At 37.2% G+C, this 16,696-nt stretch overlaps 1 protein-coding gene across 1 annotated transcript in view; it reads left to right on the forward strand.

Annotated features, from left to right (window-relative positions):
- GTF2E1 (general transcription factor IIE subunit 1) overlaps positions 1–16,696 on the forward strand; it is a 40,326-nt gene that overhangs the window by 20,580 nt on the left and 3,050 nt on the right. The window contains exons 3-4 of the mRNA NM_005513.3: positions 7,405–7,606; positions 13,100–13,341. Of these exons, the coding sequence (NP_005504.2) occupies positions 7,405–7,606; positions 13,100–13,341 (444 nt within the window). The remainder of the gene's footprint in view (positions 1–7,404; positions 7,607–13,099; positions 13,342–16,696) is intronic.

The following is a 16,696-nucleotide window of genomic DNA, read 5'->3' on the forward strand; positions in this document are numbered from 1 at the left end:
GAGGAATGATGCATGATTTGACCAAATCCAGATAAGTTCACATTTAAGGAAGGACAAACTAAATTGAATTTTGGGGGGTGGTTTTATGTATTTCATAAAATATTCAGTGGGAGGGGAAAACGGTGTCTAAATATGCTTCCTAACCTATATGGTGGTTGGATGTTTACAGTGCAGTAAAATTAATCATATATATTAGTGTTATGTCTTGAAATTTTATAGTTTCCTCCTTATCTCACTGAAATCCTAGGAGTTCTGCTTCTAGCTACTTAGTTTTAACATGGAACTGTGAAATGTCTTTTGTTTTTTTCTTTTTCCTGGAAGCTTTTTGAGTGAAGGGGAGTAAAAAACTTGGATTCAAAGTTTTTTCATAAGATTGTCCAGGAAAGTTATGCATGCCATTATCTCTTGCTTAGATTTTGCAAAGCTCTCTTAGGTAGTTTCCTTGCTTTCACTCTTGGTTCCCGTGTAGACTATTTGTCATAGCAACTAGTGATCCTTCTAGCATATCAGAGCATGCCACTCTTCTGTTAAAAATCCTCCAGAGGCTTCTTCTTTCCCTCAGAAAAGTCAAAGTCCTCAACAGAATTTATAAAGTCTTCTATTTGCTTCCTCCCCAATTTCCCCTTTTGGAGACTATTTCTATCATTATTCCCATGTTCACAGCAGCCACCTTATTTGTGCTTTGTGTGCACCAGGCATGCCTTTACTTTATTTGCCTTTTTGCATGCTATTTTCCCTTGTCCAAACATTTGCATGACTTGCTCCCATCTTTAAGTCTCTGCTTTTACATTGTTATATGAGAGAGGCCTACCCTGAGTTTCCTATATAATAGAGCAACACCCCTTTCCCTTCACCTTCTTCCTTCCCTGCTTTTTTTCCCCTGTAATACTTATATACTATGGATGTGATTTTTTTGTGTCTTGACTACCCCCAACTAGAATGTGAGGGCCATGAAAGTAGCTCAGAAGATGATTGGCTGGACTTGGGAAGGCTGAATGTCAGAAGCCCTGGGGATATCAAACCCACTGTTCTGGGGTGAGAGCTCTGCAGCAGCAGACATTTGATCTTCCCTGTTTCCTTGGCCAGCCTTGAGGACATGGGCTGCAATAGGAGTCCCACTTGAGCACTTAAGCACCCTGTGCCATATCAAAGCATTTGAGCTTATTTTGATTTTTTAAAAGTTTGTGGGAAAAATGACTGAATAATATTTCAGTTGCAACTGATACCTTTGACAAATATTTGTCAGTGAATTGTGGGCATTAGCTGATGGCTTATTCATTTTATATACTGGACTGAAGAGAGAAAAATATAATGCTAAGTAATGACTAATTGAGGATTTGACTAATAATGTCTTCTGCCCTAGTGTCACGTATCTGTGTCCTTTTTGTCAGTTATACATTTCCAGAGCACGTACTTGTCAAACTCAAGAGAATAAACAAGTTTTTGGTGGGGTTTTCTTTTTTTTGCTTTGGTTTTATTTGTATTTATTTATTTATTCTCTTGACTGAATACCCATATAATTACAGTGAGTAACATGTTTGTTAAAATGAAATATGTTGGAAGCAGTTAAGTTGAAGGCCTTGGCTGGTATCATATATACCACTTAAATTTTCTTCTGTGTTTAGCAAAGAAAAAATGTCAAGTTTCAAATTTCGCTGAGCATTACTGTTTTTTTTTTTAATTGTTGTTACCAATCCCTTCCCCCCACCCTCCCCATCCCCAATTCATTTTTGCTTTTACTTTTTTTATTTTGGAGAAAGTTAAAATTAAAATGGTGTAGAACTCTTTCCCTTTCCCCTCCCTCTTCTGCCACTGTCCCCCTCATCCCCACAATTAGGTCTCCATTTCTTTTCTCATTGTGGAGTGATAACTTACCTTCTGTAGAAGAATCCTGAGTTATAAAATTGGGACATTCCTATACTACTGAATATATGACCCTAAAATATAGCTTTGAAATATCTATTTATAAAAGATATTTTTTTCTTCCCACTTTCAATGCCTGTTCGTTATCTGCAATGGGATTTATTTTTATTTGTTTGGCAAACCTGATAGGTTAAGACTTAGCCAAGTAAATGCCAGGTATGTGACAGGCACTTATGTTTGTTAAATTATTTGTTATAAATCTTTTCTCCTTCTATTCAATATTTTTGAAAAGTGGAGCTAATGTATATACATGGGAAAAGTTTGCTAAATTGTAGCTGGCAGGGCTGATAGGAAGTTGGAAGGAATGTATAATTCAGGATAGTATAGTGAATTTAGTCTTTTGAGACAGAAAGATTTGTATTTGAATCCAAGTTTAGTGATTTTTGTTTTCAAGCTATGACTTGGTAAACTTAACGCCTCTTAAGCGTTCATTTCCTTGTATGTCAGATTTGGATAGAATTATTGCATAGATTTGCTTCTGATGAATATATAGGAATATTTGTAAAGTAGCTTTCTTAGTTCTTTTTGTGGTTTCTGAGTATAGCTTATCAAACAAATGTGTTATAGAACTCCTTTTTTCCTCCTAACCCCATCATTTGTCAAGCTTTGCCTAAAGAATCTTTGTAGCCTTCATTTTCTCTCTGTTGCCACATTCTTAGATCTAGCTTGCATGTTCTCCCTTGCATGCCTTGGATTCACCATTTCTGGGTTTTGCCTTCTTGATCTTATATGTGAAAAGGGAAAAATTGTGCAGAGCTCTGAGTTTCAATTTCAGTATCTTCTCTCATTCTTGAGTAGTATAGTCTATGTACACTACTTAGTGTAGAATGGTCTAGTTACAAGAAAAGTTGGGATGTTTATCATATTGCTTAATAGCAGCTCTCTACCAGGTGTAGGCATCAGAATTCCTTGTGTAACTTTAAAAATTCTAATTCCTGGGCCCCATTCTGGACCTCTGGGATCAGCATTTGTGGCATGGAGCCTGAGTATAAATTCCACTGGGGATTTTTATGCAGACACTCAGTTAAGAACTGCCTTATTGAGAGGCCATCTCAAGCCACTCAGGCAGATCAATATATGTAAATATTAGTTTTCATGACCTCAGTGTCTTTCCTAACACCCTTCTGTGGCTTTCCTATTACTAAAGAATAAAGTCAAAATGAAGCTTATCATTCAAGACCAATTTATGGTCACCCCAGTTTATCTTGTTAAGTCTGTTTTTTATCATTCTTTTTGATAACTGTTTTCCTATCAGACTGAAATTGCAGTCTAACATCATTTTTCAACCACCCTACTTCTCTTATGATGATCTAGAATGTCCTGTTCCCTTACCCCTTCATCTTCTCCTTCATCTTTTATCTTCTAAACTGTCTCTCAAAAAGGTTTACCTTCTCAATAAGCTTTTCCTAGTGTCCTCAGCTAGAAGTCACATTCCTTCTTTGAACTCCAAAACATTTATGTACTTTATTTTTTGCACTGATCCCTGATTGTTTTATCTCCAGACATCTTTCTTCCCTACTAAAGCTTCTTGCTGACTGGTTCTGTCTGTGTATGCCACCACCACTCTCTCAGTAGCGTGGGTGCCTGCTTGCTACATAGTATGTGCTGGGTTTCCGTGTCCTCCTGCCCCTTGCCACTTGCCCCTTCTGATTTCAGGAAAACTGATTTGCATTTTTACAATGCGTAGTGAAATGTATAAAAAATGCTGCTGGTATATTAAACTGGTCTTAAGTCATTTTCTGTAAAATGTCAAATTTCTTACTTTTCTTGCATTTTTTAGGGTCCCAGAAGAAAAATAAGAAATTCTACATTTGGCTTTGACAGGCTTCTCATTTATAACTAATGTTTTTGTGATAAACACAGGGCTCAGAGATGTCAGGCTAGCTTTTCCTTTTGTAATATTTGCTAGATGTGGTATTTATTGGGAGACTATTCTCCATGGGTCTCTCACATGTTATGCATGTCTTGGCAAGCAGAGATACAGACTGACTGCTTTTTTTCCTGGACTATCATTTTCAAGGATGTTTATATAACGAGCAGCCTTGCAAGACAGAGATAGTATTTCTCTTCAGAGCAAAGAGCAGGTTTGCTTATGGTCCAGTATAAAAAGTGTCTCCTTCCAGAGCATGTTTACATAGAGTTTATAGTAAGTAAGGATAATGCCACCCTCCAGTGCAAAGAATGGGCATGCTTATGCCCATTATAAAATATTTGAGTTCCTTTTAAGCTCAGGCTCTCTTTCCTGTAACACAACCCATTGCATGTGTAATTGTTACCTGGCCCTTCTATCGCACCCCATGGAAATTGGGGCATGGGGAACTGGCTTAAATACTGACACTGGCTACTGCTATTTCCTTGAGTAGTGAAGTTCTTTGTCTCTGACCTGGGGTCTTGTGTCTTCTGCCAGTATCCATGAAACTGGCAGAATAACTTGTTAGCTTACAAGTAGGGTAAAATCTCAGACCCTTCACAGTTCTTAGTAATAATGTTAAAGCTGCTGTTTTCATACCTGCAAAATCAGCCCTTCTGTAAGTAACTCCTGTTAAGTTTGGATGAGATTAGAATTTAGGTGCCTTATGACTATATACTTTATTTTTCCCCCTATTCTTTTTCATGAAAATAAATTACTCGAGTTAAAGGACTGTCATTCTGAGATTGTCCTTCTGTGAAATAATGATATTAGTGTTGTTCTCTTTCTCTCTTTTCCCCAAATAAAAGCACTGCTGTTTTATGAGGATGAGCTACACTGACAAGCATGTTGATTTGTTTACTTAAAGCTGAAGTTTGGAGTACATATTGTCTTAAAATGAGAAATGGGGTATTTGGGAGGACATTTTTTTAAAATTCGGGTATAACATGACTTTTTAATGATAAATTAGATAAATAATAAAACATGTTGGATAATGATAATGCTAAGGGAAAAGAAAATGAAAGAGGATACGATTGTTTGGGTGGACAAGACAGTTGAAATTTTAGATAATGTTGGCTACAGAAGGCCTTACTGGTGGCTTCTGAGTAAAGAACTGAAGTAAGTTTGGAGATGAGCCATGTGATTTTCTGGAGGGAAGGCATCTGGGTAGAGGGCACAGCAGTGCAAAGGCTCTGCAGCAGAGTGTGCCTGATGGGAGACATTGAGGAGGCCGGTTTGTGATGCTTTGAAAACAGATAATGAGAGGGTTGGAGTATTAACCTTTGTCTTAGCTGTGTTTCTATACTTTACCCCAGAGCATTTGCTTTTATGTTTATATATTAATCACCTTTCCATTTGAGAAATGAGATTCCTTTCTTTAAAAACATTTTGAAAACTACAGAACTAGATAACTTGTCTTCCAAACTATTCTTAGTTCTCATTGACAGTCTCTGTAGGTGCTTATTTTTCAACAGTCAATTTAAGTCCCAGTCTCACATTGGTGTGTTTTTTAATTCAGCAGGTATTCGAGAGCTATATTCAACCCTACTTTATGTGGTTTATTTTTAAGCCCCCACATGATTATATTCCTTGCTTCTGTTGAAGAGAAGAGGCTGAGACAGCTTGGAACAGTTGGAGAATAATATAAGATAACATTCTACCTAAAACCTTTCTAGCCAAGGTTGCTTCTTACCCTTTGTTACCAAATATAAAAGCTAGTTTTCAACTCTTGTTGGCCTCTTAATATTAGGACCATACATTTCCTTGAAACACCATCCTGTCACTCTGGTTGCACCATTTCTCTTTCTCAAGGATTCCTCATTCCTTGAGTTTATGCCTTAACTGCTTCTTCTCACTCTCCTTAATCTCTTCGGATGCTTCTATCTACTATATGGCTTCAGTTACCACCTATAGGTTGTTGATTCTCATATCTAAATTTGTAGTCTAAACCCCTCTCTTGAGCTGAATTGTTAGCATTTGTAATTAGTTGGCTTTTTACATATTCATTTTTATATTTAAAGCAATTTGATATCTTTTACCTAAAAAAAAAAAAAAAGCTAGTTCTTCCTCTCTTTACTTTGGTATAATAGTATTCTTGTCCAGTTGATTAAGTTATAATCTTTATGTTCGTGACCATTAGTCAAAAGCTATCAGGTACGCACCTGTAGTAAACAAAGTTAGGTTTATTGATGCTTTCTGCAGCAAGGGAAGCCACATACCATGGGGAAACCATGAAATGTCGGTAAGATGATGTTGGACAGACTTAGAGAATGTGGGCTTTTGTTGGGTAATTTTGGGGAGGATTCAGGGAAGTGATGAAGGTTTCCTTTGGATTGGATGCTGTGAAGAAGTGGGGATAATTCTATGATTGGGTATCTTCATAAATCTTATCTAGGAGGTGACAAGAACAGAGTGACGCTAAAACTAAATGGTAAAGAAGCAGCAGTCACTTGTGCAAGATGGGATTTTTTGTGGTTTGCATGGAGTCCTTGCTTTTGTCTGTTCTCAGACGCAATTCCACAGTGGCTTGGGTTTGCCTCACTTCCATCATAGTCTGATGTTAGTGATCTGTGAGATCTTGTTTGACAGAAAAATGCCACAGTCTAGCTGTGAGTGCTGAGCCACCTCCTAGCTGTGAAGGGCTGCATTTCTCTCTCTTTCTCACTTATTTGGGATAGATGTAGATTAGGTGGCATTTAGACAATAAGAAGATGTATTTTAGGGTATTTGAACAAATAATTTACATGCTATTGGCTATGTGTGAGGGGCAGTAAAGAAAATTATTATACTGGTAATGTATCAGTAGGATCTAGTGTTATGTTGAAGTAGAGATCACTTGGTTGTTTGTTCTTTATGTATCAATCATACATGGGGCCTTTTATAGCTAAATGTTTGAGTACTTAACTATTTGCCAGACACTAAGTACTTACATGTTCCCTTTTAATCTTTCAAGTAAGTTGAGTCAGAAAGGAAGGATGCATATTCCTGTCTTTGGGAATAAGAACCAAACTGGAAATCCAGGTGTGGCTAGTGGTGTAGACTGTTAAGTAATGTTTAAGAGTGTGAGTTTTAGCATAATAGATTGAATTGATTAGATACAAATGGTTAATAAATTTTAAAAAATAGCCTGTGACAATGTTCAGGATGACTAGAAACTCTTGGTTTTAGGTATTTATTTGGCTTTCCCCATAACGTAGGCCCAAATGTGTAATGTGAAAACAAAAAAGACTAAAGCTGCCAGGAAAGGGTACAAGTTGTGGTGGTAAGCTGTAAAGAATTTGGCTTTAAGTTAAAATAAATACATATTAGAAATATTGTGATTAAAAACTATGCTGAAGTTAGGGATGAAATTACTTTGAATACATCAAAAATGATAGATGGATAGATATGTGATGAATAGCAAAATGCTAATTGTAGAATCTAAATGGTGGTCACATGGCTGTTCACTGTGAAATTCTTTCAACCTTTGTGTATATTTGAAAGTTTTAATAATAAGATATTGGGGGAGGGTGGAGGTATAAACTATCTGCTAAAGTCTTCTCTCTGACCTGAGATACTTGTTTTCTCTGTAGGAACTTTCCGCTGTACTTTTTGCCATACAGAGGTAGAAGAGGATGAATCAGCAATGCCCAAAAAAGATGCACGCACACTTTTGGCAAGGTTTAATGAACAAATTGAGCCCATTTATGCATTGCTTCGGGAGACAGAGGATGTGAACTTGGCCTATGAAATACTTGAGCCAGAACCCACAGAAATCCCAGCCCTGAAACAGAGGTGAGTGTAGGCCCTGTGCTCTTACTAAGAACACATTTCAACCTGTTCTTGTTTTAACTACCTGTACCTTGGAGAACAAGAGTGGGTAATTTACTAGGAGACTCAAGACTGTAATGTTACGTAGGTTCTCAGTTGTGCCACATTTGTCTGATTAACGTGTGCCTGTGATGAAATTCGTTTGTTCTAAATGCAGAACACTGTGGACTTCAGGCAAAAATCTTTAAATATTTAGGTTTGACTTCAAGTACTCATTCTGCTTGGGACTGCAGCAACTCAGCCAATTGTTAGCTAATCCTAAATTAGTTGTGCCGCTTGGGGATATTTGAATTTTCCTAGCCAGCTTCTGAAGGCTGAAGGCCTTTAAGGAATTCAGCATTTTCTTTTTTGTTTTTGAAGCATTTTAATCACCTTTATTTCTTAGTTGTAATTGCAACTTCCTTGAAAGTAAAGTATAGCTGGTGTTACCTATGGGTTAATACTCCTAACAGTGGCTCCCTATTTTTATCAGTGTTCCCTAATGTTTGAATTTCAGAGGTAACCTTAGTTTTGCCATGCCAGAAAAGGTGGTTTATATTCTTTCTTGAAAAGCATAAATGAAAATTGGGGTCAGGGAGTGCTCTCCTACTCTACCCTTTTTTTTCTCTCCCTCTTCCCAGCATCAAGTAAGGGATATCTTTATTTAACCTTCACTTCACCCACTCCCTTCCAAAGAGCTCAACAATCAGGCTGTATTTGTATAGTTTTTAGGAGCATTCTTAGTATTTTATTTCCTGTGGTACTGATGTTACAGAATAGCCAGTCCTGAGTAAATTGGGCTCCTTTTAGATGGTTCAAAGCAATCCAATTCTACAGAAAATTTTGTATCTGTAAGAGTTATGAATTTTCTAATCCAGTACCGTGTGTCAGTTAGGATGCCTTTGCCTGTGATAACAGAATATCCAGCTCTAGTTGGAATTAGAATCCAGTCTAGCAGTAGATTGAACAATAAGAAAATTTGTCTTGCATGACTAGAAGTCTTGAAGTAGTACAGTTCAAAACTGGTTAATTTCACAGCTCAATTATATCTTCAGGGATCTAGATTTGTTCCATCTTTATACTCTGCTGAACTCAGCCTGTTGATTATCCTCTTGGGACCATGAGGGGAGCTAGTCTAATATGGCCATGTATTTCTAGGTATCACGTGCAGATGACAATGTCCAAATGCAGAAAAAGGGACCGTCCCTTCCTTGTGTCCTATTTTAAAACTGAAGAAAGGTTTCCCAGAGGGCTCCCTAGGATACTCTATTTATCCCCTGATGTCTCACTGGCTGCAATTGTTTTATATGCATATTTCTAAACCAGCAGCTGGCAAAGGAAATGAGATCACATGACTGGTACTTAGACTAGTTAAGGTTTACCTTCTAGGACTGGGGAAGGTCCCAGAGTTCTTTGGAGCAAATTGCCATTGGTATTTTAATAAAACCAATAAGCAAAGAAAGAAAGGAGCCACAGTTGATAGGAAACTAATAACATCTGTATCACAGATAGCCTTAACTTTTGGTACTGGTTATTTATTTCTTTTTGTGTAAGAAAAGGAATTCCTCTTTTGAAAAAGGAATTTTTCTTTTTGTATCTTTTTCAGTCCTTTTAAGTTATATTGTAGCTCTAACATACAAGCTTATGAGGGAAATTGATTTTACAAAAATACAAAATTTTCTAAGCTTATGGATTATTTCATGTTGAAGTATGCGTCAGTGTAGTATCTGATTGCTTCCTACACAATATACTATCTGAATTATTCTGATGTTTCCTCTCCTACCTGTAGTTATTTGTCCTGTTTATCAAGATGCTTCCCCACTACAATAGCATTCAGTCACCACCACCACTGGCTTCCTGTCTCTAATGTTCTCCACCTACCACAATCCAGCTCCCCTTCCAGGATCTTTATTTCCATATCCCCCACTCACTGCAGGCCTTGGATGAGTCTTAGTGGTACAGTGACACCAGAGGCCCAACAGCAGCTCTCTGTATCAAGTCATCTTCTTCTTATCAGGAATGATGGTGACTCCAGGGATGAAGAAGAACCAGGAAATAGAGGAAATAAACTGATCAGGAAAAAAGGATACCCAAAAATCTGGTCATTAAGAAAAAAGGGAGGAAATGGAGGCAGACAAGAAAGACAGAATGGGGTTCCTAGAGCTGCCAGCCAGACCAAAGTAAAATCATTTCCACGTGGTCAGGAAAAAAACCATTAGGTTAGAAGATGTTACCCAGGTTATAATGTCCCCACCAAAGCATTTGACAAATTCCACTGCTTGGATATAACATCCTGGAGGTGGTATTGATTTGGCCTTTCTGTACTATAGGAGTATGAAGTTTTGAAATGGCCCATCCTGCCCCAAGGATGTAATAGTCCATCCTGCCTCAGTACAAGAGAAGAGGCATCAATAGAATGGTATGGGAACTCAGAGATGATAGCTTTTCTTTTTTTAAATAAGTGGCAATATTATTAGTTTGATTACTGATCTGTAATCAGTTAAATTCTAGCTTGTCCCTAGATCAGAAACTAGGGGCTACCTCTGCAGAACTGTCAGTAGGCCTAACCCAAGAATTGATGGACAATTCTATCCTTTCAGCAAGTCAACCTATTGATGAGATATAAAAATCTTCCTATCTTTCTAGAGTGGAATTCCTTGCTAGTAACCTTCCCTTTTTCATCATCTCTTAACACTTACCTTAAAGATTTTTAAAAATTTAGTTTTGAAATAATATTCCCCTCTCATCTCTGAGTAAGAGTTGTATCTTTTAAAAGTTCTAAAATTTATTAAATAATATAAAAAGATTCAAACATGAATTGTCATTTTTGTCATCTTCAATTAAAATTGTTCCAAATTTTAAAATTTGTTTGACTTATGGTCAAATGTCTGCTGCCTCAAACTAGAATAAAACCCATCTTGAATTTCTATGACAGAATACTAAAAACAAAAGACTTTTTAAAAGTACTCTTGTGTTAACATTTATTTTAATTCTGTTCTTTTCTCTCTAGCTTTCTTGTTTTTCTCAAAGTACTCCTCATACCTTCATAAGACAGTCTTTGTAGTCAATGCTAAAGATAGAGAATAGAGAAAAACTCTGTGTTCAGGATTATATATAAAGAGAAGCAGTAACCTCAGAGTGAGTGAGTCATTTAAGTCTGAATCAAGGAAAGATAAGGATGTGGTTGGCCAGATCAGAGAAATATGCCTATTCTGTCTCTCCCAGGTGGGTTTAGCTAACTCAGGGAGAAACATTTTGGGGTGGCAGATATATAGAGCAGGCTCAGCACATCAAGATGGGGATGTTGGCTGAGGATAGAAGAGGCATTGAAAGGAGTCAGAGAGACAAATGGGTGTGAGAGGAGAGGCCAGAATGTAGAATAAGCACAGAAACATAAAAAACCAGATCAGACCAAGAGAAAAGAGAAAGTAAAGTGAATGCTGAAGAAGAGAAAAGTTCGAAAAGCCAACCTATACAAAGTAAGCAGCATCATATTACAGTGAAGGCAGCCACATAGCCTTTAAAAGACCACACAGAACAGATAGAAGATAGAGAATGACTAGGGACAGTTAATGGTTAAATTGAGATGAACAAGAAATGATACACAAAGTAACATCAATGAATGCAGAAAGAAATAGCAGAGAGAAACCAGTTATGTGCAATTGTAGCATAAGACTTCAGAATATAGCAAAAAAAAAAAAAAAATAGATGGATTGGATATATTTACAGAGAGATGCCTCATAGGTCTAGACTTAGAGTGGAGAGCAAATAACTGGTAGAAAGTAGGAGCAGTGAGGAGGCAAAAGAAGTGATTGAGACATGGAACAGGTAGAACAGGCACCGGGAAGAAAAAGGCTGTGGGAGAAAGTGGTTTACAAAGTAGCCCTGGGCACAGAGGTGGAATAATGAAAAGTATGCAAACGCAGTACCTGGAAGGCATGGATTAAATGACTGGATCAGTGTGGACTGGGCAACTGGAGATAACATTATTTTTTTGTTGCACAAGTAGCATGGCCCTATAGATATCCAGAGGCAGGACAGGATAGGTGGGATGAGCTAAGCCCAAGTTTACCTCCAGAGGATGGTCAGAAACACAGTGTAATTTAGGGAAAGATGTGATGGGCTAATCAGATACACGGACACAGACCTCAGCTAAGTATGAGTTAGAAAACCCCAGTAGATAAGAAGTGGACCCAGAACAAGTGAAGAGTAAGGGAGTAAGCAGAGATGAAGTAAGACAAAAGTGAAGGCAAAATAGTGAATGGCTTAGGAGGAAAGACTAATGAAGTATTTATTAGATTCAGAATGAGTCGGGGCTCCACACAGGAGATAATTCAGGATCCATGGAAAAGAGTGAGAAAAACGGACGAAAAATAAAGGAGAAACGTGAGACCAGGTCAGTCATGGACACTGAAAGAAACACCCAAAAGGTTTGGAGTGAGCAGGCAGTTCAAGAAACATGAAGATGGTTACAGGATAAAAAATAGCTGGACAGAGCGGGAGGTGGAGAAGCATACGTAGAAGTTGAAGTGGAAAGCATCAGTAGCAGGCAGAGAAAGGCATGAGCTCAGACAGAGAATCAGGCATATTCGAAAGAATTTGGAACAGATTGAGAGTGAAACAGGCAGATAAAATGGGGAACCATCAGAAATACTGAAAACTTGGCCTAACACAGAGGTTGGGGGGAACTTAAGTGACTAGAAGATAAGGAAATGATCAGACATGGAACAGGCTAACAGACAAAGAAGATCGTGGGTGGTAAAAGTAAAAAGCAAAATAAAATAGACTGAGAAAAACAGACCATTGTTACTGCAGAGTAGAATCAGTGGTTGGAGATGGATACAGAGTATCAGCATAGATGTGGAGATAGAAACATACAACTACATAGAAAAGCAGCTAGTTTGTGCAGAGGGTTATACCTTACTGCATGAGTGGTGGGAGAAGAACGTTGGTTGAGGTCAGGCTTTGTAGAATAGTTTTCTAGCTTTTTCCATGATCAGCACACAAAAGAAAGGAAAAAGCACACAGAACCACTTTGAATTGTTCTGGGTTGAGCTGAGATAACATTTTTAAAAATACAATGTGTTTTGTTTTTGTTTTTTAAACAAAATACTGGGAGAGATTTTTGTCAGACTAGTGGCTTTAAGTAGATGATGTCACCATATCACTTTCTCCTTCTCCAAGTATTAATAGATTTATTGAAACATCTTAAATCTATAAAACCTCAGTCATTTATATACATCAGAGGATCCCATGTTTGAGGAACTTAAATATAAATATGATGTGTTTTTCTAACGCATACAACTTTTACCCTGAGGTATAGAAGCACTTTCTTGGAATTGTTAAAGCATGTGTGCATGATTGCTAGGTAGCATTTACATGTAGTATTTCAGTAATTGCCTCCCTAGCTGCCCTTCTTTTCCAACACCAAGACATTAATTTTTCTTCTTCCTGTACTCCTCTATTCTTTTTATATAGCAAGGACCATGCAGCAACTACTGCTGGAGCTGCTAGCCTAGCAGGTGGGCACCACCGGGAAGCATGGGCCACCAAAGGTCCTTCCTATGAAGACTTATACACTCAGAATGTTGTCATTAACATGGATGACCAAGAAGATCTTCATCGAGCCTCACTGGAAGGGAAATCTGCCAAAGAGAGGCCTATTTGGTTGAGAGAAAGCACTGTCCAAGGGGCATATGGTTCTGAAGATATGAAAGAAGGTAAGAGTAGAAGTCAGTAAAATGGATGTGTCTTAGGTTCTGTAGAACATGAACTTGGCTTAGTGGGAAACTGCCTGGGCAATTCTGGATCTGTTCTACAGAACAATTAATTGCATTATATTAGGAAGTAAGAAATTGAACAATAAGATAAAAACCAACTAGTATACTTCCATTGCCCTTCAACTTAGTGAAAATAACAAATAGCCTTTTAAATTTTCATTTTTAGATTTGAAAAATTGTCATCTTTTTATCTTAATTTCTTGGAAAAATGCTATCTGTTGTTTTCAAGGTAGCCATACTCACCTTTCCTTTAATCTTATATTACCCTGACTTATATGCATTTAATTTTTCTGAATTGGGAGCCAAAACTATACGCTACCCCAAACTTTATGTTTTCTCTTCATAAATACCAAGGAGTGTATGCTACCTGAAATAGATACAAAGAGACCACATGAATAAAGGATTGAGCATTCTCACAGTCCAAGACGGTTAGCAGAACTTTGTTCTAGAGGATTTTGGAAATTTCTGAGGCATAAAGGGTTAAGAATTGCATACTAATCTTCGGAAGTTAGAGAACTGCAAGATTTTACTTTCTAAGTTTTAGTCTAAGTTACTGCATTCAAGACTTTGAGTGATGATGGTTTAGGAGTATGTAGAAAATGGGAGGCAAAAATGGATGACGATGACTCAAGCTGGAAAGTAGAGAGGAAGGGTGTCTCTATTTCTTGCTGAATTTTATCAGTGTAACAATCAATGTGCCGCTACTCCCAAGTTAATATATCATTACTAACATATCACGTGAGTTTGGTGATATGTTAGTGCCAAAGAATAATCAGTAGCTGAAAACCACTTGTTTTTTGGCGTTTCTCCTAGCCTCTTTTCCCTTCATAATTAGCATTTAGTATATGTATATACTAGAAATTGTGAAGGTAACGTGGAGTTTGGTAGTGATGGTAAAGCAGCTAATACCTCTACTGTGATTCTCTTTGATATATTAATTTTAATAAGAAAAGGTTTTCCAAGGCAACCATACTTTACCCTCCTTCTTCCTCACTGATTAGCCTGCCATGTTAGTTTTTTTGACGGAGTCTCGCTCTGTTGCCTAGGTTGGAGTACAGTGGTGCGATCTTGGCTCACTGAAACCTCTGCTTTCCGTGTTCAAGTGATTCTCTTGCCTCAGCCTCCTGAGTAGCTGGAATTGGGCGCAAGCCACCATGGCCAGCTAATTTTTGTATTTTTAGTAGAGACGGGGTTTTGCCATGTTGTCCAGGCTGGTCTCAAACTCCTGACCTCAAGTGATCTGCCTGCCTCGGCCTCCCAAAGTGCTGGGATTACAGGCATGAGCCACTGTGCCCAGCCTGTTGTGTTATTTAGATTGAAGTTGTTTTAGATTATACAGTAGTTAGGCTATACTACTACTTAATAAATTTGTTTTCCCCAACTTGGCTTCTTGCCTGTTCTTAAAGCAGCCTTCTTTTCTTTGAACTTAGGAAGAAAACTGAATAAAATAAAATTATTATTAACCAACATTATATATTAAGCTCATAAGTTTAACATTCTAGTTTACAGTTCCTAAAATGATAGAATATGAATCATATGGGCCTTAAATAAGTTATCTGGTCTACTTAAGTTTTGTAAATATTTATTTCTGCATAAAATAGGATAGTATGTTGTCATGTCTGAATTTATCCTAAGTTTCTTGATAGTAGAGCAGACTCTATCCAGTGAATGTATGAAGTGGGTCTTAACACTTGATTTTCCTCAAACTTCAAGTCATGTTGATATCTTTCACAATTGTATCGACTTCAATCATGTTCTCATTACTATACTGAAGAAAGTTCTAATTCCTTTTGATTCTGTTTTCCTTAAACAGTTCTCTTTTCCACTGCTGCCACCTCCTACAGTTTTTGTTTATTTTTGTCTTTTTCTGGACCATCTCTAATTGTAATATACTTTACTTGAGACATAGTGACCAGAATGATACATGTTGTTCATGCATGGATTCACCATTGATTTGAGTTTTATTTCCAGTATCTTTCTGGTTTTTACTTGAGATTTTGTTTGTTGCTTTGGTTCTGGAAGCATGTTAAGACCAAAAACTTCTAGAAACACGTAGAGGTACTTTTTAGGTTCTTCTGTGCCTTGAATCCAATAGCTTGGATCATATCTTTCAGTATATTTTAGATTATTTTTCTGCAGGCTGATTTTCTTGCACTTGCTGAAATAGAAATAGATCTGCTACTTTTCTGCCCACGTATACAACCTTCAGCTCTTCCTATATTTTTTTGCTGCAACTTGGCCTTTCAGTACCCACAATTGCTTAGCATCAATTCCGTGAATATAGTTTCCCAGTATACATCTTCTTTGTAATTTATAACTCTGTTGAAAAAGGCTGTTCCTAGAACCACTGTTTCTACTTTACCATCCAGAAATTTGCTCATTTATCCTTGTTTTTTGTTTTCTGTCTTCATCTGTAACAGAATAATTCTTTTTTCTCCAAACCTCTCAAGACCCTTGTCAGAAATCTGTTACGTGTGACTTAATTTAGTTTACAAAACTAATTTTCTTTTTCCCTAATTTAATACTTAAACATTAATCAAAATACTGTGTTGATATTATTAAACTATTTGGAACATTCTTTTAGAAGCAATTATTGTCTTAAAGGCTTGCATGCATTCCTTACCTTCTTTTCTTTCTGTTGTAGTGCTGCATTGGCAGTAAGCTCTAAGGAGGAGGTTCAGCCTTTGACAATATTTTGAAGTAGTTAAGTTTGATTTTAACTCTCATTTTGACAGTCATGTTATCAAAAGCCTCTTTTCTCTGACCTAAACTTTTAACTTGTCTGCTTCTGTTTCCCTTTCTCTCTCTTATCTGCTCAGTATCTCATTTTAGGAGTTCTGTGCCTTCTAAAATGTCCAGGGATTTAGCTAATTCATTTTAATGTGTTAATGAGAAGATGCTTTCACTTTATCCATAGTCAGAATTGACCATTTCTGAGTCTTCTCTTGATGACGATGATGATAGATAACACTATTCTAAGTGCCAGGCCCATTCTAGACACTTCACAGACATTCACTTAATCCCCACAGTAATCTAGTGAAGTAAATACTATTTTCCCCCTTTCTGTACTTGAGAAAATTGAAGCGGAGAGATGAAATAACTTGGCCAGAATCATACAGCTAAATAGTGTTAGGATTTGAATCAGGGAGTCAGGTTCCAAACAATACTTTTAATCTTTTTATGTATTTTAAATGGCAGTATGTTTGGTAGTAGTATCAGAATGCAGAATGCAGATGGTTTTCTTAAATATTTCATCTGCAGTATATCAGGTAAGATATGTACACAAAATGATAGG

This window comes from Homo sapiens, chromosome 3 (assembly GCF_000001405.40).
Source record: "Homo sapiens chromosome 3, GRCh38.p14 Primary Assembly".
NCBI lineage: Eukaryota > Metazoa > Chordata > Mammalia > Primates > Hominidae > Homo > Homo sapiens.